Raw genomic sequence first — 23,495 nt, forward strand, 5'->3', positions numbered from 1 at the left:
CCCAGTTTGCCTAACCAATGTTCTTAAACAGGTTTGATCTTACTAAAGTCTATATCTCTATTGCTATGTATAGTCTTGCTATTGAAAATCCTATTCAAAGCTGCTATTGTTGATTTTATTCTGTGCTCTTCTGAGAAGTCCTACAGCTTGTAAAGATAAACTTGAGTTGTTTATGGAGATGGTTTGTGTTGGATGAGCTCTGTTCTCTTACTTACAACCCTACGACCAATGGGCACATGGTGTCAGCCACATAGTGACAGAGTGGAGGGGCGGCATGCGCTAATGTTAGGAGGGTGTGTAGCCGAGTATTTGACATTGGCATCAGGCCAGCTTACAAGTTTTTTCTTTTTGAGTGTACACATAAATGTTGACCATTTGAGGAGTTAAATGTTTGTTATCTTCTGTGGTTACAAGTTCATTCCATAAATGCCCATGCTTAGGAGAATCCCCAGAAAGAACAAAGGAAAATGATTTAGCAATAATCTCATTAATTTGGTCAATGTAGACATTCCAATTGGCTATATCATATTCCTTTTAAAATTTGAATTGGCCAGGCACAGTGGCTCACACCTGTAATCCCAGTACTCTGGGAGGTCGAGGCAGGCAGATCACAAGGTCAGGAGTTCGAGACAGCATGGCCAACATGGTGAAACCCCGTCTCTACTAAAAAAATACAAAAATTAGTCAAGCATGGTGGCGTGTGCCTGTAATCCCAGCTACTCGGGAGGCTGAGAGGCAAGAGCATTGCTTGAACCTGGGAGGCAGAGGTTGCAGTGAGCTGAGATTGTGCCACTGCACTCCAGCCTGGGCAACACAGCAAGACTCCATCTCAAAAAAATTTTTGAGTTGTGCACTTTTTAATTGTTTACATCGACTAACACTTTATTCTGTATTTTACAGGCACAGCATAAAAGGCAGATTAAGCAAAAAGATAGTATTTTTCTCTGGGCAGAGTGTGGAAATTTGAAGCTCTTATCAGACTTTGATACCTATAAATGTTAAATTATACTAGGTTGGCACTTCCTGTATTTCCTTGTCATTGAATATATTTTCTTCTTCTTCAGCCCCAAGTGAACTTTCAACAATGTGTCTTTAATCTACTCACATGAGAAGAGGTATGGTGGAGGTGCAGTGGGAAAATACTTAAAAATGTACTAAAAATTGTGTATAATTCAGCTTAAATACAGGAATAAACATGATTTGTGTGAGGCTTGGCAGCTTCCCATTCCTCTTTCAAAATAAAGCACATCTGAAACACCTTCACAGGGCATGTACTAATTAGCTCTTGGTGTTTGCTAGTTATTGTGTTATTACCTAATCTTATCCAGTCAGACATCCAAAAGGAGGCCCATTTCCAAGAGGCAGTATGATTCAGTAGATTAGAAACAGACCCTGAAGTTTGACACTCTGGTGCTGCTGACTTACCAGATTCTTGGGAAAATCACTCCACGTTACAATGTCTGAGTTTCAATAAGGGAGAACGGTTTTCTTTCTTCCGACTTCAACATAATGATATTGTAACAACTAAAAGTAAATTGCTGTAAAAGACAATTCAATGACCATAATAAGAAGTAATTGGATGTATATATAAACAATATTTATAAGAGGATGTAATAACAGTGATGCAATTTTCCTTCCCACATGACTCTATTACAGGCATGATTTCTCTTGTAAAAACAGGAACTCTCACACAGTCTTCTTATCTGACCTGTGAAATGGACTTGCTGGGTTAACTGAGACTCCACTGAGGTGGGGATAGTGTGCCACCTGTATGCACTTTTAATCTATAGCTTAAATCTCCTCTGTGAAGCCTTCTCCAGCATCTTCCCCCATCTAATCCCCTGACCCAGTTGAATTTGCTCTCTTGCTATTGATACCACTTAACTTTTCTTACAGAAGCTGTGACCCAGAATTGAATTGTCATTTTCATGTGGGCCGATTCCTAAACTGAGTGCCTTGAGGGCAGGACCCAGGGCGGGTAGAGTGCCTGGTCCCCAGCTGCCTGCTAGATATATGTTTATTGAATGGATGAGTCTAACCATTAACAATGGTGCTTGGGTAAACATTTACTTTAATGAGGCTAAGTTATTTCAACTCTATAAACCTCAGATTTTTCCATCTGTGAATGAGGATTTGGACAAGCTTGTAAAAAAAAGTTCCCTTACAAGTCCAAATTTGAGTCTGATTTTGTATATTGTAAAACATGGCAAATATATATAACCTAATGCATTTATAGAGCCTTTTTTTGGATGATGTGAAAAACAAAGATTTGAGTTTCACTTATTGAAATGTTATTTTTAAATTTTTATTTATTAGTGTCTTTGTACTCATTTTTATTTCAGAAAGTATTGCTAAATAATGAGAATTAGGCAATCAGACACTTGAGGGGCTATTTGTTTCTATACATATACTTGGTAGGACGGCCTCTGAGAATTATAGCAAGAAAATGAACAATTACTTAATATACTTATGTAAAGTCAAATAATGAAAAATTGAGGCAGTAAAACATAATTAGGTGTCTTGACGGCCAGAACATAACAATTATGACTGTCACCAATGATTATTGTCCTAAGTGAAAATGCATCCGTTTTGGTGGAAACATTAATATTTGAAAGTTATCATTAAGAATTTTGATATATTAAAAATTTCAGGTAGACAGAGGCTTCTATGTACATATAGAATTAACTTTGTTAATACCAGATGACCCATCTTGTTATAACATGACTACTGACTCCATTCTTTCAAAGATTGAAAGACTGACCAAAACGGAGTTTGAGACCTGCCCTTTCTTTAGCACTTTTTAAGGTGCTGAAAGCCTTGTTTTTCCTCTTCCCAGACCTGACTTGCTTTGGGAAGCTCAAAGCTGCAGAGCCTGTTTAGCCGCTGCTATTTACATGACTAAGGTTTGTATCCCAATTGCTTTTAGTTGAGAAAGCACCTTTAAGACATTTAGTGATGCTTGTGCTTGGAGGTATTTATATTTGAAATTCTTCTTTATCACTTCTTTACTTCCACTTTGGCCTCTTTTGCTTCTTTCTTTGCTATGACTGTCATTCATTTGTTCGTTCATAAACACATACCCAGACACCATTTTTTTTTTTTTTTAGACGGAGTCTCATTGTGTCACCAAGGTGTAGTGCAGCAGCGTGATCTCGGCTCACTACAACCTCTGGGTTCAAGTGAATCCAGGTTCAAGCGATTATCCTGCCTCAGCCTCCTGAGTAGCTGGGACTACAGGTGCGCACCACCATGCCCAGCTAATTTTTTTTTGTATTTTTGGTAGAGACGAGGTTTCACCATGTTTGCCACTTTTATATACCGAACACTTTGCTGGGTTCTGGAGATAGAGAGATACGGGTATGCTCCTCACCCTCTAAAATTTACTGCCCATATAATTTTTCTGGGTTAGAGGTCTTTGCAAGTTGCTCTTTTGCTAGTTGTAGCCTCTCGGCATGTACTTATACTTTGAATACTTAGCTTTTGACTCTTAGCTTTAAATAATTGATTCCTAAGTGCTGTAACATATTTGTGAACATCAACCTGCCCAAGCTGTCTTCAGCTATCAGTTAATAGCTATGATCACTTAATATTAGTTTATCTTTCATTTTGCAAGTATGTGTTTTCCCAAAGAAATTCAGAACTAGGATAATGCTTTTGCAGCTGTAAACTTTCTGGTAATCATGTTCTTGATCTTGTTTGGTTACTACATTTAGGGATAAATGTGGAAAGGAGAATTTTTATTTAGGTTGCAAAAATCTGACTCCTCCCTTAACTAAACTCTATTGAAATTCTCTGACGAGATTATGAACTTCTTGCTTCCATTTCTTTGTATTTCGCCTTAACAGTTATGGATGTAGAAGACAAAGACTCAGATGTCTATTTGACACCCATGGGATAGGTAGTAAAATTACTACAAGCTTCCAGAGCCAAGGTTGGAGAAACAACTTACATTTTTTTTAATGTAAGCCAAAGGAGAGGGAAATATTAGGAAAAGGTCATTGCAAGGAGCCATGTTAAGTTAGTTTGTTTGAACCAGAGAGAAATTTTTGGTAAGTAGAACCTATTAAAATTTGACTTTAATAGTACTTTTCAAAAACAATAAAAGTGAATGTTTGATTCTCTATTGCTTTATATCTTTCCTCTTCCCCTCAAACTTGGTGGTTTAAAACAATAGCCATTTTATTATATCTCCTAAATCTCTGGGCTGACTGTGTTCAACTGGGAGGTTCTTCTGCTCCACATAAAGTCATCTGGGGCTGTAGCAATCTCAGCTCAACTGGCCCAGGGCATGTAAGATGGCATACTTACATAGTGGATGGTTGATGCTAGCTGACAGCTGGTAGCTCAGTTGGGGCTGTCAGCTGGGGGTCTTAATTCTCCTTGAGGCTGCTTTTGCCTCCTCATAGCATGGAAGCTGCCAGTCCTCTTAAAGTCTAGGCTTACTGGCACAGCTTCACTTCTGCCACATTCCAATGGCCAAAGCAGTTACAGGCCCAACTTATATTTAAGGGGGTGGAGAAACAGATTCCACCTTTCAGTGGGGGCATGACAAAGAATTTGCAGTTATCTCTGATCTATATAGCAAGGCTATGTGCAATTAATCACTGTAAAAGCTGATGTTTGAAAAAAAATGAGGGGCATAAAAAGTAGGAATTTGAACATAAGTTGTCTGCTGACCGCATGTGATATAAAGGGAGAAATTAGCTGCATGAGAATCACATTCAGGTGGACTCAAGGAAGAGCATCACATTCAGGTGGACTCAAGGAAAGGTTGCCTTAGACCAATTCCACCAGAATTACCAGGAAGATGTGTTAAAATGCAGATTGCTAGGACCCACTGCCAGAGTTTCTGATTCAGCAGGCCTCAGGCAGGGCCTGGGAATTTATGTTTCTAACAAGTCTTCAGGTGATGCTGATGCTATTGGTCTTGGGAACTACACTTTGAGAACCACTGCTTTAGACTGTGCAGGACCAGGAAAAGTGAGAACATTTAAATAGACAAAAAAAGGAATATTATTTTTCCTCTAATGCTATTTTTAGAAGCCTAGTGTCAGCAGCTTAAATTTAAGTTCTAGGCCACAGCAAACACATTAACATACAGCCTTTTTTTTTGTCAGGGTAACTAACCCTAGTGCTGCAACATCAACCCATGACATCTCATTAGCTTAACACAGCAAAGTTTTCTTCTCACTCATGTAAAGTTCATTGTGACTCAGCAGCTTCCCTGTCTGTGTCAGTATACCATCTGGAACATGTGGCTCTCAGTGTTGCTGAGGCAGGGGAAGAAAAGGGAAGAGAGTGAAGAATGAAGCACACTGGCTCTTAACTGCCTCAGTCAAGAAGTGACACGGTTACTTTGTATCAAAGTCCATTGGTCAGAACTAGTCATATGACCTCAATCTTAAGTGCAAAGGAAGCTGGGAAATGTAGGAGCGCACATGGATAGTCAGCAAGCCCTACCTGTCTCTACCACAGTACCAGATAACTTTAGTGCCCCATGTTCTGTGATTATGCACAGCTGGAAGTGGAAAGAGTTTCATGAGCCCTCAATTGTAGGTACACTTATAATTATTCCAACATTGTCATTATTACTTTTTAAATATTTATTATCATCTGTGAATAATTTATGGTTTTATTCGTAGTTTTCTATGTGGCATTAAACAGAATGCCTAATGACATCACTGTTTCGAAAGAAGATCTGTTGTAAAAACTACTTTTAACCTTGTTACAAATAATTTGGGGCCGGGCGCGGTGGCTCACGCCTGTAATCCCAGCACTTTGGGAGGCCGAGGCGGGCGGATCACGAGGTCAGGAGATCCAGACCATCCTGGCTGACAGGGTGAAACCCCGTCTCTACTAAAAATACAAAAATTAGCTGGTCTTGGTGGCGGGCGCCTGTAGTCCCAGCTACTCAGGAGGCTGAGGCAGGAGAATGGCGTGAACCTGGGAGGCGGAGCTTGCAGTGAGCCGAGATCGCACCACTGCACTCCAGCCTGGGCGACAGAGCGAGACTCCGTCTCAAAAACAAAACAAAACAAAACAAAACAAAACAAAAACCCCAAAAAAACAAAAGAACAAATAATTTGGTAAGGCTTTGTTACATCATTCTAGCTGTTCTATTGAAGACTGATTAAAGAAGCCACCACCTCTTTTTCTTTCTCATTTTGCCAACCACACAATTCTTTAGGTAAGTGTCAAAGTGATTACTTATGCTGCCGTAGTCTAGATAGCCTGTGCAGATCAGCAACAGGACATTATCAGCACTTTAAAACCATCTTATGGTCATTTTTGAAAATAAAAAAAGAAATTAATTTTTATCCCATCCATCCACATGAATCCCACTGTTAGCTCAGTATTAGAAAATGTGGTACAGAATATTGTCAGTGAGAAACAAAACAGAAGTTTGGTTCAATTTCATCATCGGACTTATTGCTATTGCCTATCTTTTGTCTGGAATTCTTTTCTTACGGTGACTTCACAAAATTGACACTGTGAGAGGGACTATTGGTCACACAGGGACTCTTTGGTCATGAGAAAATAGTTCCTAGTTTTCTTCTGCTGATGGGAAGATTTGTTTGGCAGATAAAACCTCAGGAACATGCTATGTACCCAGTCTCAGCAGGTTTGAGGCAAATTTCCATTTTAATTTTGTCTCTCAAATTCTGTTGGCTTAATCAACACCTCTGATATGTTGAAACAATATGATAATGATTTTTTTTGTGGAAATATGCTTGATTGGTAGCAGTCACCTGTCTGTTCGGCACACTAAAATACTGTCTGTCATGATTATTAGAAAGCGTCTGAATTATGTGTTTTGATGCCTTCATTATATGGCTTTAGTTTATAATTAGAATCTTCATAAGCTTTTTCACCACAATTATTCGGTAGTTTCTAGGCAGGCAGTTTCTTTAAATGAATAAGTACAGATCAGCATTACTCTCCCCACTGAACAGATGAAGAAACTGAGACAATTTCATGCCTAGCCCAACACGTTCTGGTGAGTCAGAGTCAGCGTTAGGATAAAACTTCAGTTTATGTGCTTAGGCCAACACATCTTGTGTAACTCTGAAGTTAAATTTCTGGAATCAGGGACACTCTTTTGGTTTAATATATGCTAGAGCAATAGAATGATGTGTAGTTATAAAAACTGGAAACTATTAAATCAAGTTATCTGATCCCTACCTGAGCTAGGTGAAGAAATGCCTAACTATACACGGAAGACTGTATAACAGTGGAAAGAGCAAGAGGCTAGAGTTGGAAGAAGCAGACTCCAGTGAGAAGAGCTGTGTGACCTTGGTCACGTCACTTAGCATCTTAAGAGCCTAGTGTCTTTACTTGTAAAGTGTGGGGCATCTGAAGACACATTTTCTAAAGTCTAAATTTCTATTGCAGAATTTTGAAACTGTTATATTTGTGTTTGGAAGAATCCTTCTTAGGTGAATCTTAATTCAATCAAAATTTCTATTCTCTTAAATATTTATTTTTAAGTGGAAATTATTACAAGAGACAGTTTCCTTGGCTTTGACTTGGCGTATGGAGTCTTCTCTCTGTCATCAGTTCTGCTGAAGAGCACAGAAGGGAATTGGGGAATGAGACTTGTCTGTGAGGAAGCTGTGTGTACACTGCAGGCACAAACTTGTAAGGCAAGACTCCCTCCATAACTCCTTCCCATTCCTCCTGGGGCTGGAGGCCGAACTCTAAAACACCTCCTCCTACCCCACAGTGCCTTATTGATGGATGGAAGAAGTTTTCACATGGGGAGGATATTTGCTAGGCTATTTTTCTAGCAGCTCTTGTTATCCATCACCATCCCTATGCACTTGGTCTGTTTGTCATGGAATGAGTCTGGGGGAATTTGCTTTTTCAGCTTCTTTCTTCCTTCCCATGCTTTTGCCAAGTGAGAAGAACATGGCATCAGCCTCATTGAAATGCAGTGGTGCCTCCCTATTTTTCCAAGGCTGCCCCTGTGAAAAAGGAGCTTGATGAGACTCATTAAGGGCAAATCATGGGGGTTAGGGTTACTTTGAAGGGTTTTCTCTGCAGAGGTCCAGATTTATTTCTGAATATCACTGACCCAGAGGCCAGTTTCACATCCTGCAAAAAAATGCTCTAAGAGAATGTGTCAGCAGAACTGGCATTGCATGTCTAGACAAAGAATTGACATTAGCATCATCAGCTAGCATCCAATCTGTTAATTCTTGTGTAAGCATTCGCTGTCTGAGCCTCAGGCATTTTTGGACTTGAAACAAAAACTTTAGCTCTAAGATTTAAACTTAGGTCTTTCAGGAGCTTCTTTCAGGGGAAGGAATAACAAGGTAACTTATTTCAAGATCAGATATTTTATTGATAAACATAAAAGTTCCCTCATCTTTTTTTTTCCTTCTTTAGTAAAATGGTGACTGTGTCATCACCATCTTCATCCTATTGTATATTTGTTATCTCAAAAAATATTTGTTAAATACCCACTGGGAGTTTATGCAGGGCATTCTGCTGATACATTGGTGAATAAAACAGCCAAGGTCCCTACCTCCTGGAGTTTATAGCTTAATGGGGGAGACTGCCCACAAACAAGTGTAACAGGATCTCTCTGTCTCAGTTTTGGCTGAGGCACCAGAGAACAAAGCAGTAGGTGTCAAGTCCCTTGGCTTTCTAAACTGAGGTGCTAGACTACCTCTGCAGGACTGGTGGAAAAGGTACTGGTTCTGCCAGTCAGAACCCATCATCTACCTCCAGGGCTCCAGGGTTGAGGAGAAGGCTTAGCGTTCTTGGAGGTTTCAGTGTTGGTAGAGGGGATTTCTTGAGGAGAGTTGTCACTGTGCTGTAAGGTTCCCCTCACTGCAGGGAGGAGCTGTGTATCCCCCACTCTCAAAACTAGTAGGGAGGAGGCTTCCAGGGAACCACTCAGAGAGAACGCTGTCCTGTGTTTCCTGAATCTGGGGGACTTGGGGACTGACATATGAGGCATCTCAAGGCAGAGGCAGGGGCAGTGGAGAGAAGAGATGCTGTATTGAGAATGGCCAGCCCTTCCATAGTTGACTGGGTAAAAACTGACTCTGAGGAAGGAGCAGACTGGGTCATCTTGGCAGCAACTTAAGAGGGAGAAACTACGGAGTGAGGTGACTCTGGAAAGAGACAGGTCTCTAGAATGGAGTGGCAGAGTGGGATGGTGGGGAAGATTCTTAAGGGACCAACCCGAAAGACTATTGCCTGGCAAAGCAGCTGTGGGGGGCAGGGCCTCTGAAAACCCCATAAAGAGCAGGCCTGGGAAGCTTGGTTATCTGCCAGATGCAGAGGTAAAAACCCCAGATTACAGTGACATCTGACAAGACAGACCTATATTCCCCTCTTCTCCATCTGCTGCCCCAAACCTGAAGAGCCACAATCCACAACTACAAAGATGGGAGGAGGTGGAGTGAGGAGAAAGCTGACAAGGCTGTCTTCCTGATGAGCTTCCTTGCCTGGATCAGAAGCAGATCTGAGCTGTGAGAGGGGAGGAATCATTGGTTAACTTAGGTTTAGAGTTCTGATATTAAAATCACCCTAGAAAACAGACTATTTGTTTAAGACTTGGAAGTGACTGTGATAGCTATGGGACTGGTGGAGATTTTTCATCTAGAGACAGGAAAGAACATATGAAGACAGCAGATTCAAAGAGGCAGAGGAAGGAGAGGATCAATTGCTTTCTGTCTGCACATACTGATTCCAGTTTCTTTACTATCCTAACTTGATTATGCTAGTAAATAAATAAAATGTTGAATTATAAAACCGTGACACCAGGTGAGGTAGTGTGTGCCTGTAGTCCTAGCTTTTCAAGAGGTTGAGGCATGAGGATCACTTGAGTCCAGGAGTTCAAGTCCAGCCTGGGCAACATAGTGAGGCCCCATCTCTAAAAAATTAATAAGCAAATTAAAAAGAATCATAAAACTGCTCTTAAAGGATAGTGCAGAGGGTGGTAGTGGAGGAGACCTATTTAGACAGGGCAGCAAGGATTACCTCTCAAGAAACCATATGTAATGAATGAGCAGGAGTCAGCTGTGCTAAGTTCTTGGGGAGAGTTAGGGATGGGAGTTCCTCTAGGGTCCAGGCAGTGGGAACAGTATGTATAAGGTTTATGTGAACAGCATCCAATAAACATTTGAGTGGTTTTAACCAAGAATATTTTCATTCTTTGTGCAGGGCACTGAGTTAAAGTCTGTCTTATAAACAGGATAAATGCCTCCTTCACTGAAAACTGAGGCTTAATTGATCAATCTTGGAAAAAACCCCTTGGATAGAAGGTAATGTCTAAAGGCTATAAAGAGCAAAGAGACTCTTGCCCTCTGTTCTAAGCTCCCAGTAACCCCAGAGAACATCCTTCTTTGATGAGTATTGTCATGACCAGCAGCCTCTCCTATGACACTAGTTCCCTTTTGTGGAGTGCAGGGGATTCTGGGTGAAGAAACACAGAGCTCACATGACAGTCTCAGGAGGAAGGAGGGAGGGAGGGAAAACCCTTGACTCGTTCTAGGGCTCTGTTTATGTGTAAGAGATAGAAAAGACTACTTGTTGGAAGCATGCCATGCAAAGTAATCGAGGTAAGATGTCAATGACTCCATCAGTAGGGGCAGGTGTAATCCCTTGCATTGACACACTGATTGGAAAAATGACTCACCTTTGCTGATATACATTTGCTCAGGAAATAAAAAGAGCAAAAAGATGAACTGGTGGCCTAGTGAAGGCCCAGGGAGAGTGTCTGCAGGAATGTGGACACATCCATTTAAAGCTTATATCCTGGGCAGACAGTGACCTCAGTAAGGCACCTTCCCAGGCTTCTCTGGGTTTCCGGCTGGCTTTCAGTCTCTACCAGGGAATGGAGCATCTCTGGGCAGAGGGCAATGCACCAAAGTTTGTGAGGGGTCCTAGGAGAGGAAGACTGACTGAGAGCCCCTGCTTTCAGGGAACTCTGTCCGGCTGGGAGACTGAACTGGTATCATTGACACATCTCACAATCACATATGCAGAACCAACCCAAGGAGGTGAAGAGAGAGGAAAAATGTGCTTCTGGTGAATACTAGGAAAATCAGTGCAATCTAAACTACCAGAGATTTCCACATCTCTAGCTTTTCATTATATCTATTTGCTTTCCCAGTAACACATGCTCAACAAAGAGACTGCCAAATACAGTGTAAAAAAATCAACTATTTTCATTTAAAAGATAATGTAAATAGAGAAGGAAGGAGCCTGTGTTAGGGCTTTCCTTTTTCCCATTGGTGCAAAGCAGTAACTTGCGCCATTAGAACCTGCACCACTTAGTGAGGAACCGATCTCCAAAAAGGCTGCCTGACACACAGAAAGTTCCTGTAAGATGTATTTAAAAATCAAGTTGAGGAATTTAGAAATCTAAGCATTTTAAATTTTAAAAAATTGAATTAGGGTGCTTTGTAACTAGATGGCTTTGCCAGTATCATATCTGAATATCAGACCTTAAGATAGGCTCTTTGGTACTCAATTAAAAGTACAAATAAAACGTGTGAAACATTTCAAAAATCAGCCTTCAAATTGATATTGTGGTCCTTGGGTGTATTTTTTTTCCTTGGCAGCATATTAGAGTAGAAAGAGCATAAGCATTTGTGTCAGGCAAATCTGTATTTGAACACCAGCCCTGCAGTCCTTAGACCTGGAGTCTGGGACCCTGCCCTAGATTCCCACCTTGGCTGGTTCACTCTGACTGTCTGAAAGACACAGCCCTCCTCACAGAGAGAGAGAGACATCTGGAGGGCCATGAACACGTGCTGACTTGAGACCTCTGTCCCAACGCACTCAGGTTCTGGAATTCCTTGACTAGGCCCTGTCCTGGACCTAGACAGACTGGCTGGGCTGTCCTCTCTTCTGGTGCAGGATGGAGCTTGACGAGAGGAATGAAAAGGGGAGTGGAGCAGCGGGCTGGAGGACCACCATTTTTATTCTTGCATTGGGCCCCAAAAATGTCAGGGGCAGGTCCTTGCAAGTGACTTCACCATTCTGAAGCTCATTTTCCTCCTTTAGAAAATGTGCATAAGAATTTCTATCTTACAGATTTTAAGGATCCAATTAGATTATTCTATAAACATACTGATTATTGTACACAAATACTTATCACTGCTATCAATCTAGAGTTTCAGGCTAGACTGAAAATGTCTGTTAAAGCCACCATATAACTGAAATGCATTATTAATTATATTACTAGCACTAATAGTATTTCAGGTACATAGTCTCTGACCTGAAGTCTTTGGGACCAAATGTGTTCAATATTCACAAGTTTTTTGATTTTAGAAATCCAAATGTTTCGAAATATATGCGTAAGGCAGATATTGCATTATATCTGAAATATTTGAGGCAGGGTCTCAATATGTTATTATTTGAAGTCATCAATACATTAATATTTCCACTGCAAAACTTAATGAATGAGGCCGGGCGTGGTGGCTCATGCCTGTAATCCCAGCACTTTGGGAGGATCACAAGGTCAGGAGATCGAGACCATCCTGGCTAAAATGGTGAAACCCCGTCTCTACTAAAAAAACCGAAAAATTAGCCGGGTGTGGTGGCGGGTGCCTGTAGTCCCAGCTACTCAAGAGGCTGAGGCAGGAGAATGGTGTGAACCTGGGAGGCAGAGCTTGCAGTGAGCCAAGATAGCGCCACTGCACTCCAGCCTGGGTGACAGAGAGAGACTCCATCTCAAAAAACAACAACAAAAAAAAAACAAAAAAAAACATAATGAATGAATATTGTGATATGCAAAGACCATAAGCAGCCTTATTTAGGTCAGTTTTTAAAAAATAACTTAAAATTTTAGAACTGTTTTACATTTATAGGAAAATTGCTAAGATAGTACAGAGAGTTCCCATATGTTCTATATGTAGTTTTCCCTATTGGTAACATCTGATATTACTATGGTACATTGGTCACAATTAATGAATCCATACTGATCCATTAACTAAAGTCTACACTATATCAAATTTGCTTAATTTTTACGTAATGTCCTTTTCTGTTCCGGGATCCATCCAGGATACCCCATTACATTTAGTTGCCGCATCCCCATAGATTCCTATTGGCTATTATGATTTCTCAGACTTTTCCTGTGTTTGATGACCTTGACTGTTTGAGGAGTACTGCTCCAGTACCTGTAGAATGCACCTCAACTGGGATTTGTCTGGTGTTTTTCTTAGGAATAGACTGGGTTATAGGATTTTAGAGTTGAAGACCACAGAGGTAAAGTACTATTCTCATGATATAGTAAGGGGACACTCTAGCAACAGGAGTTATCACTGTTAATGATGACCATGTCAGGTTTCCCCACTATGAATGTACTCTTTCCTCTTCAGTTTTTATACTGTACTATTTGGAAGGAAGCCACTTCCCCCACTTAAGCAGTGGGGAGCTATTTTCACCTCCTGGAGTGCAGAATACTTATGTAAGTTATTCCAAATTCTTCTGCATGGGAGATGGATCTCTTTTTCCCCAAGGGTCAGGTTTTGCTGCCATCAGGTTAGGAAATATTTTCTTTTTTCTTTTAAAGTTTTGGTGTTGTGAATAAGGGATTATGGGCCAGAGCCAGCATTATATCTAAATTTTAAAATTCTTACAATGTGCTTTCACCCACTGTACCACGCTGGTGACAGAAGAGACTGACAATTCCTTATAATAAGAGAGAATCACAGGGACTAGTAGGCAGGGATAATGGCAGCCTAGAGAGCACTCCTGTTTCCCAGAGCCCTGGATGGTCCCCGCCCATCATGCATGGCTTGGCCAGACATTCCTACACAAGAAGTATGTTTGGCTGCTTCCACACCTTCATAACAAATTCAGCCTGAAGGGAAATACTGGGAAATACAGTGATGGCCAAGTTGAGTATACATTTTAAAATAGAAAACAAAATTTCCCTTTTATGCATTTGTCAGGCCTTTTTAAACATGCATTTTCATGGAAACTCTTACATTGGTATTAGTTAGGACTGGGGGATATGTTCCGATGGAAATCTAGGAGGTTCATGCCTGGGGCTCACACAGCGTCACCAGGGGACCCACTGCATTTTCCTACGTTCTCACCTTCCTCTGAGGTGCTCCATACCCACTCCTAGGCAGCTCTACTTCCCACACAATCTCAGACTGAGTCCCATTTCTCCTCACCTCTCCTCTCCCTTCTCCCCTCCCAGCTATGTGAGACCCTCTTAGGATTTTTATTGTTATTCAATCCTTGCTCCTATGTGGTCTCTCTATGGCTTCTGCAACTTGCTTCTACCCAGTGGTAATAGTCCAAGATCTCACAGTCTATGCCCTAGAGCTGCAGCCAGGTCTTGTGCCAGGCCCTACCCTTTAGGTAGAGAGAGTCCTAAAGGGAGGGGGCCTCACTGAAGGATGGGGAGGGGCCCTGCAATAGCAGAGGACAGCAGCTATTCACCAACCTTCTCGAAGCCTTTTGCTATTTTAACCTATGCGGAAAGTAAATCATTTTCAAGTGTATTTTATATCGTATTGAACGTGGGAGCCTTCCAGAATTAAGCCCCAGCCTTCACAGTCATTACTGACATATTAATTACACACTCTCAGGCTGACTTTCCAACTTTGGAATCACTTGCTGAGGCCCCAAGAGGACATTCATTTAATTAGGGCAACAGTGACCTGATTGGTTTGTTGCTCTTCAGACTTACCCTTTAGTCCTAAGAGCCTATACCATTATGGGCTTAGGGGTAATTCACGATGTGGTATGAGCCCTGGGCAGCACATTATTTTTTTCAGAACTGACTGATTGGAATGTATCTGTAGTAGGGTTTTTCCTAATTCAGTCTTCAAAGGAGACCAGTAGAAAGCATCTCTTCTATTACTTTCATTTGGTCCCTATGACATCCTTGCATAAAATTACATGCATCTCTTTAGTATAAGATGGGTGATCCTATTTCTTCCACCCAATTTAGAGGAGGAATATGAATGTTTAGAAAATGGTACAAACTTCTGAGAAAAAGAAAGTTGTATGTAATTTAGAAGATGAATAATCTTCAAATAACTCCCTAAATTTGAGCTCCAATTAGGGAGAAATAATTAAGCATGTTGGCATTGAAGAAATAAAGTGTTTCAACTCACCCTCTGATCTTGGTTGTGTCTCTTTACGAACTCCAAAAATTAAACATAATCATGGACTAGATAAATAAACTTATTACCCACCATTTGATTATGCCATTTGATGAATTGACTAAAGTTTCTCGGATATCTTTTCAAAGTTCCCCCAGGGGGCAAAATCCCTCCAGACCCAGTTTTTAGGGTGCCTTTGAACTGCCTACAGCAAAGGTCTGTAAACTTTTTTGGTCAAACTCCTCTATCCATAAAAATTATTTGACTACTTAAGTCTTATGTTCACACATTTCCTATTAAAATAATATATGTTATAAAACTTTATATAGTTCATTTGGAAATTTGTGTATTACCTTGTGACAAATCTTCTGTTGTATTTTGAATTGTTTTTTAAATAGTTATTTGTGATTTACACTGTCTTAGGTTTATTTTTTTTCTCTGAACAGATTTATTAAACTGTCAAGGTCAAGAATTTAAAACAATGTATTCCCTGTTTTTAATACAGCCCTTTGATTAATTGAGTTTTTTGGACCAGAAAGCCTCGGAGTTTTGTCTGGGTTTGCCCCACCTGTGTGATCACTAGCAAGCCAGTCAACATCCACGGGCCCTGGTGATCTCATCTGTAAAGGAAGTGGTTGGACTAGATGATTTCTAAGATCCTCCAGCTTTATAATTTGGATAATAGGATTTAATTTGGCAAATCTTCCAAAAGGATGTTGTCTAAGTTGGAGAAACCTGACCTAATTTTGACCACAGATGTTGTGGATTTGGAAAAACCTTTTTTAGAAAACTCCTCAAAGACAAAAGTATACTCACTGGCACTAAAGGTGTGGTGTCCTTACTATCTTTCCTAGCATAGATCTCCCTTACAGTGTGTCCAGGTGCACTGTGGAATGCCACACCCACAGCATACCTGAAGCAAGGGGCTGGTTACACATTAGAATCGTGAAACTGTTAGCAACGGAATTATTCATAAAAAGAACCTCAGCTGAGAGCTGAGTTCAATAATTTTTAGCCCAATTAGCCAGCAATTGGCCTTCTCACTTTCCTTGATTGCATTATTTTAAAAATCTTTGTTTGATTTTTCAAAACTGTGTGTCCAAGCTGTGGTGTTTAAAGAACTAGATGTACAAAAAATACAAATCAAAATGTCACATCCTGTAAACATACCATAAGCTGATTATGTTAAATGTTTTCTTTATTCAAGCACGTAGATTTAGGGCTTAGCAGTGGTAATAAACATTCGTCTGAAGAATAGATTTTGATCAAGGAAGTCTCCCATTTGTTCCGTGTATGATCTTTATTCTGTTGGTTTTCCCAGGGTGAAAGTCACACAAAAGAAACAAACTACAGCTCTTGGAATGTAATTCCAGTGCCCCCCTTACACCCCCCCAAAACAAACCAGAAAACAAACAAACACACACAAAAAAACCCAACACTAAAACTGGCCTAACAATGCAAACTACCATGTAATAAGATCCTACCACACCTAGACAGCCACCCATATCCAATCTGTATCCTGGAAAGACTTATGACTAAGCAAAGAGAGGAGAGACCATGAAAAGAGTCAGTCATGGATTTTTAATTTGTAAGCACAGACTAATCCAGGGAAGACTTACAGCAAATTTTATTCTGATGCCTTTTATTCTTTTTTATCATGCAATCTGTGTCTGTCAGCAACAGCCTTTGATTGCTTCTTTAGCCATCTGAAATGCTAGGAGGATCCTTGTTTAACCAGTTTTTAATAACTGCATCTCTATGCCACCCTCACCATCATTTCATTTGCTTTCAGAACCAGAGTTTTTTACTCACTAGATAATATATTTAAAGATCTATAATAATATGATTAAAGTCGGGGGGAGGACAGTAATTATAAAGGAAATGAAAACTCAAGAATCTTATATTTATTTCTGTTCCAGGCAAGTATCAGTTCTGCACAGCAGTCTCCTTTCCCTTGGGGATATTGTATGATAACATTGGTGAGAACATATTTGACACTTTATTTGTAAAAGGTGCTTTATGTTTGTCATCTAGAAAATGCTAATGTGCAGTAGGCATTGGCATCAGATGTGGATGCTGTGGCTAAACACAAGGGGAGATTTCCCATGAAAAATTGATAAATGTGTATTTCATGAAAATGATTGCCAGCACTATCTTAAGTGGGTAATGCTGCCCTTGGTAAGAAGAATATAGAATAAATACCAGTTTTTATTTCTTTTATGCCACAGTTTGTATGTTAAAAGTTAGGTTAATTACCCTGATTATATGATTAATGCTGAAATTGACTTAGCAACACTAGTGATATTGCATTTTGTGACCCTCTTTTGTTCAAGCCAGCTATTTTGCTTGCCAGGTGTGCTCAAACTGGAAAAAGGCAGAAGTCTAGGAGCCCCCTGGAATTTGATGTAGATTTTCCTTTAGGCTTAAAAAGAAAAATTTTAAGTCATAAAATTCCACTGTGGGAAGTATACTGTCCTTTTTAAAATGCTAATGAAATGCTCACAGCATGTTCAGGACTAAGCAGAGATGATACAGATATGGTCAAGGCATTTGCATCCTTAACTCTTTACAGCCTGAGTATTTGGGAGGCTGTGAGTCAACACCCTCTCCTGGACACCCTCCCTCCTCATGCTGGGATGGTGCCAGAGTGGGCAGGACTAGCCTTACCTGTGGGGACAGTAGGTGACTCTCCTTAAAATGCTATTTTCTCCGTATTAACTTGTCTATATTGGAATTTTTAAATTATAAAAGTGACTTTTTATAGGTCAAACAACGCAAAGTTGTATAAAGCAAAATGATGAAACGATGTACAAAGAAAAAGCTAGTAACTTCCCTTCACCCCATCTTGAGGAAAGCAGTGTCCTCTTCTGCTATTTGTTCAGCCCTTCCCCATACTCATACAAACATATACAGGCAGATTAAGTTTATATAATGCAGATTTTTGTTTTTTACTTTATGGAAATAGGATAAAATACACATTACTGTATAAACTTAATTTTTTTTAGACTCAGCATAACCTTTCTTTAGTCCAGTAGATATACTTCACTATTTTTGTGTATTACCATTTAGTCCACTATTTTATGTTTTATTTTTATTTTTTGCTTTTTGAATGGAGAAGCTGTTTGTTTGTTTTAAAAATAACAGCTTTATCTAGCTGTAATTCACATACCATACAATTCACCCTTTTAAAATGTAAATGGGCTCACACCTGTAATCCCAGCACTTTGGGAGGCTGAGGCGGGCAGATCACTTGAGGTCAGTTCGAGAGCAGCCTAGCCAACATGATGAAACCTGTCTCTACTAAAAAAAAAAAAAAAATCAAAAATTAGCCGGGCATGGTGGCATGCACCTGTAATCCAAGCTACTTGGGAGCCTGAGGCATGAGAATCACTTGAACCTGGGAGGCAGAGGTTGCAGTGAGCCAAGATTGCACCACTGCACTCCAGCCTGGGAGAACAGAGCAAGACTCGTCGCAAAAGAAAAAAAAAAATGTAAATGGCCTTTAGTATATTCACAGAGTCATACAGCCATCACCACTATATAATTTTGGAACATCTCACCGCCCAAAAATGAAACCCCCTCTCTGTTAGCAGTCACTCTCCATTCCCCTCTCTTCAGCCCCTGGTAGCCACCAGATTACCTTCTGTTTGCATGGATTTGCATGTCCTGAACATTTAACATAACCAGACTCATACAACATGTAGCCTTATGTCTGACTTCATTCACTTAGCATAATGATTTCAAGGTTCATCCATGTTGTAGCAAGTATCAGTACTTTATTCCTTGTTATGGCTGAATAATATTCCATTGTATGAATATACAACATTTTGTCTATTCATTCATCTACCGATATACTTTTAGGTTGTTTTCACTTTTTGGCTATTATGAATACTGCTGCTGTAAACATTATGTTCAAGTTTTGAGTACACATATGTTTTCAAGTCTTCTGGGCATTTACCTAGGAGTGGAATTGCTGTACCATATGGTAACCCTATATTTAACATTTTTAGGAACTGCCAAACTGTTTCCCTAAGTAGTTACAACATTTTACAATCCTAATAGCAGTGTGTGAAGGTTCTAATTTCTCCATATCTTCATTAACACTTATTTTCTGTCTTTCTTATAATATTCACCCTACTGGGTGTGAAGTGGTGTCTATCTCACTGTGGGTTAGATTGGTATTTCCCCCAATGATTAATGATGAGCATTTTGTATGTGCTTATTGGTCATTTGTATATTTTCTTTGGAGAACTGCCTGTTAATTACAATAATTTGCCCATCTTTTACTTGGGTTGTCTATTTATTATTGAATTGTAAGAGCCCTTTATATATTCTGGGTATAAGTCCCTTTGCAGATCTATGATTTGCAAATATTGTTTACCTTTCTGTATGTTGTTTTTTCACTTTATTGATGGTGTCCTTTGAAGCTCAAAATTTTTTAAATTTGTGAAGACCAATTTATTTTTTCTTCTATCTCTTGTGCTGTCTGTTGATGTCATACCTAAGAAACCACTGCCTAAACTAAGGTCATGAAGATTTCCTCCTTTGTTTTCATCTAAAGAGTTTTATAGTTTTAGCTCTTATAATTAGGCCAGTTTTCTATTTTGAGTTAAATTTTGTACATAAAGTGTGGTAGGTGGTCCAACTTCATTCTTTTACATGTGCATATTGTTGAGTTGTAAAAGTTCTTTATATATTGTTCCAGAACCGTTTGTTGAAAATATTATTCTTTCTTTATTAAATGATCTTGGCACCTCTGTTGAAAACTAACCAACCATAAAAAAATGATTTATAGCTGAATCCTCAATTCTATTCTGTTGATCTATAGTCTGCTCTTATGCCAGTACCACACTGTTTTGCTTACTGTAACGTTATAGTAAATTTTAAAAGCAGGAGGTATGAGTCCTACTTTGTTCTTTTTCAAGATTGTTTTGGCTGTTCTTGCATTTCCATATGAATTTAGGATCACCTTGCCAATTTCTACAAGAAGACAGCTGAAGTTTTGATAGGGATTGTATTGAATCTGTAGATCAACTTGTGGAGTGTTGCTATCCTAATAATATTAAGTTTTCTGATCTATGAACATAGGATATCTTTTCACTTATTTATGTCTTTAATTTCTTTCAACAATGCATTGTAGTGTTTGAAGTGCAAATCTTGCTCTTCTTTTGTGAAACTTATTCCTAGGTATTTTATTCTTTTGGATGTTATTGTAAATAGAATTGTTTTCTTAATTTTATTTTTCAATTGTTCATTGCTAGCAGATAGAAATACGATTGATTTTTGTGTATTGATATTATATCCTGCAATCTACTAAACTTATGTATTAGTTCCAATGCTTCTCTTGTGGATGCCTTTGGATTTTCTGTATACAAGATCATCTTATCTGTAAACAGAGAACTTACACTTCTTCTTTTCCAATATAGATGCTTTTTGGTTTCTTTTTCTGCCTAATTGTTCTGGCTAGAACCTCTAGTACAATGTTGGATAGAAGTGGTAGGAGCCAACATCCATGTCTTGTTCCTGCTGTTGGGAGTAAAGCATTCAGTCTTGTATCATAAATTATGATATTAGCTATAGGTTTTTCCTAGGTGCCATTTATCATTTTGAGAAAGTCTCATTTCATTACCTTGTTGAATATTTTTTGTCATGAAAGATGTAGAATTTTTATAGAATGCTTTTCCTACATTTATTGCGATGATCATGTGATTTTTCTACTTCATTCTACTAGCACGGGATGGTATATTGTTTGTTTGTTTGTTTGTTTTTTGAGACAGTGTCTTGCTCTGTCGCCCAGGCTGGAGTGCAGTGGGGTGATCTTGGCTCACTGCAACTTCTGCCTCCCGGGTTCAAGCAATTCTCCTGCCTTAGCCTCCTGAGTAGCTGGGATTACAGGCGTGTGCCACCACACCTGGCTAATTTTTGTATTTTTAGTAGAGACGCTGTTTCACCATGTTGGCCAGGCTGATCTCGAACTCCTGACCCGAGGTAATCCATCCGCCTCAGCTTCCCAAAGTACTGTGATTACAGGCATGAGCCACTGCACCCGGCCTGATTTTAATGTTACATCATCTTTCTATTCTTGGGATAGTTTATCATGGTGTATAACCCTTTTTAATATATTGCTCTGATTTGGTTTGTTAATATTTGTTGATGATTTTTGTGTCTATATTGATAAGCGATATTGGTTTATAGTTTTCATGTCTTATGACATTTGGTCTGGTTTTATAATTAGGATAATATTGGTCTCTTGTAATGAGTTAAGAAATGTTTATTTTTCTTCTATTTTTCAGAAGAGTTTGCAAGTTTCAGTTTTAATTTCAATGTTTAGTAGAATTCAGCGGTGAATTCTACTGGGCTTTTCTTTGAGGGTAGCTTTTAAATTACTAATTCAACATCTTTCCTTTTTATAGGTTTATTCAGATTTTCTGCTTCTTGAGCCAGTTTTGTTAGTTTCTGTTTTTCTAGGAATTTGTCCATTTAATCTAGGATATCTCATTTGTTGGCATTCAGTTGTACATTGTCTTCTCTTATAATCCTTTTTATTTCTAGAGGATCAGTAGTGATGTTTCTGCTTTCATTCCTGATTTTAATAATTTGCATGTTCTTTCTTTTTTTCTGTCAGTCCAGCTAAAGTTTTCCTGTCAGTCTAGCTAAAATTTCATTGACCTTTTAAAAGAACCAACTTTTGATTTTGTCGATCTTCTCTATTCTTTTTCTATTCCATAATTACTATTTAGCTATTGACAGACATTCAGGCTGTTTCCAATTTCTTGGTATTGCAGTTAATACCATAATAAATATCTTTGTTTGTATATTCTTATGTTCTGATACTTAAAATTCTTCAGTGCAGATTTATGAAGTGGGATTTTTCTATATTTTTAATTTTAATAGATATAGCTAGATTACTTTCTGAATAATGCCACTGGAAATGTAAAAGGATATTGTTTTTAACAGTAGATTTCTATTGCCCAGCCACTGGGCCTGAAATCCAATCAGGTATCAAGACTTAGGACATCCTTAGTACCAAATTTGGGGTCACAGTATTCATGGCCATTACTGGGATTGTTCCTTACCTACAATGCAATCTTGTGTAAGTTACTTAATTTTCCTAGTCCCCATTTTCTCTGGCAGAATGGTGTCTGCCTACCCCATAAAACTGTTGCGAGGATCAGATGTAACATGAACAACATGGTCACTATGTAGGGTCACTGCCAACTCTGTGGGTTTGAATTCCAGCTCTGCTGCTTATAAGGTATTTAACAATGGGCACATTACTTAGTATCTCTGTTTCTTCATCTGTAAAATGGGCATAATGACATTATATTAACTCATAGGATTGTTGTAAGAATTAGATGAATTGGTACATGAAAAAAAAACACTGAGACTAGTGCCTGACTTCAATAGTAAGCACTTAATTGTCATTGGCTGAAAAATATTAATATGTATTTTTCACTCTGTTCTCTACGCTCTCTCTCACATACATATGTTTTGGGGAGGAAAAAATATGCACACATACATACACATGTGTCTATTTATGTACATTTATATACAAGGTATGTTGTACGTAAAGAAAGAATAGAAAGAATAAAAGCAAATATGTCAATCTCTGTTCACAGAAATGTATGAGAGATGAGACATATTCACTTATAAATGTAACACAAAGTAGAAAGTGTCAACTGAAATCAAAGGGACAGAGCTAAAGTACTCTTTCCTTTGAGTTAAAGAGAAGCTATATTCTGGGTGCAGCCTCATTTTGGCTTCAGTTTGGATAATTAGTCTGTCTAGCCTGTCACTGGCAGAATCTGAAATAATGGAACCCATAAGGAGTAAGATTTGCTGGAGGAGGCACTGCAAAGTAAGATGAGGAAGACAGTTGACTGATGGTCAACAATCAGTTCGCAAACATTTATTGAATACCCACTCTGTGCCAGGCAATAGGGATATAGAAGAGAACAAGACAGATATAGTCTCTGCCCTATAATAGCCTGAACGTTGTGTTAGTGAGGTTCATGAGCAACCAGAGTACAGAAGGGAAGCGTGCAGAGAGAAAAAGTGCAGAGAAAAAAAGTGTAACTTTGATGGGTTACAGTTATGCCCTGGGTTGGCCAAGAATGCAAATAAATGCCATAAGCCTAGATCTAATATTTTCCTTTTCTTCTTTCTCTTTTTAGACTGATTCAGTGGGTTAGGTGGAAGTACTGGGAATGGTACTGGCAATGATTCTGGAATCGTGCAGAGCCTGGCATGGGAAAGGTGAGGGAAGGAGAAGGCAGCCTTGGTAGTGGGGTGGAACGTGAAGAATGGGAATTCTGGGAAGAGATGGTTATATACATTATTCTATACTGAAGAGCTGTCATTTGATGGTTATATTTGTAAATATTTTGATTTTGAGAAGATTAGAAGTGGCTG

The 23,495-nt window shown here is 39.2% G+C and overlaps 1 protein-coding gene and 1 long non-coding RNA gene across 14 annotated transcripts in view; both read left to right on the plus strand.

Moving 5' to 3' along the window:
• Positions 1 to 23,495, plus strand: part of CAST (calpastatin) — an 813,255-nt gene that overhangs the window by 180,154 nt on the left and 609,606 nt on the right. The gene's annotated exons all lie outside the window — the stretch shown is intronic.
• LOC101929710 (uncharacterized) overlaps positions 1 to 23,495 on the plus strand; it is a 669,085-nt gene that overhangs the window by 179,582 nt on the left and 466,008 nt on the right. The gene's annotated exons all lie outside the window — the stretch shown is intronic.

This window comes from Homo sapiens, chromosome 5, assembly GCF_000001405.40.
Source record: "Homo sapiens chromosome 5, GRCh38.p14 Primary Assembly".
NCBI classification, from domain to species: Eukaryota; Metazoa; Chordata; class Mammalia; order Primates; family Hominidae; genus Homo; species Homo sapiens.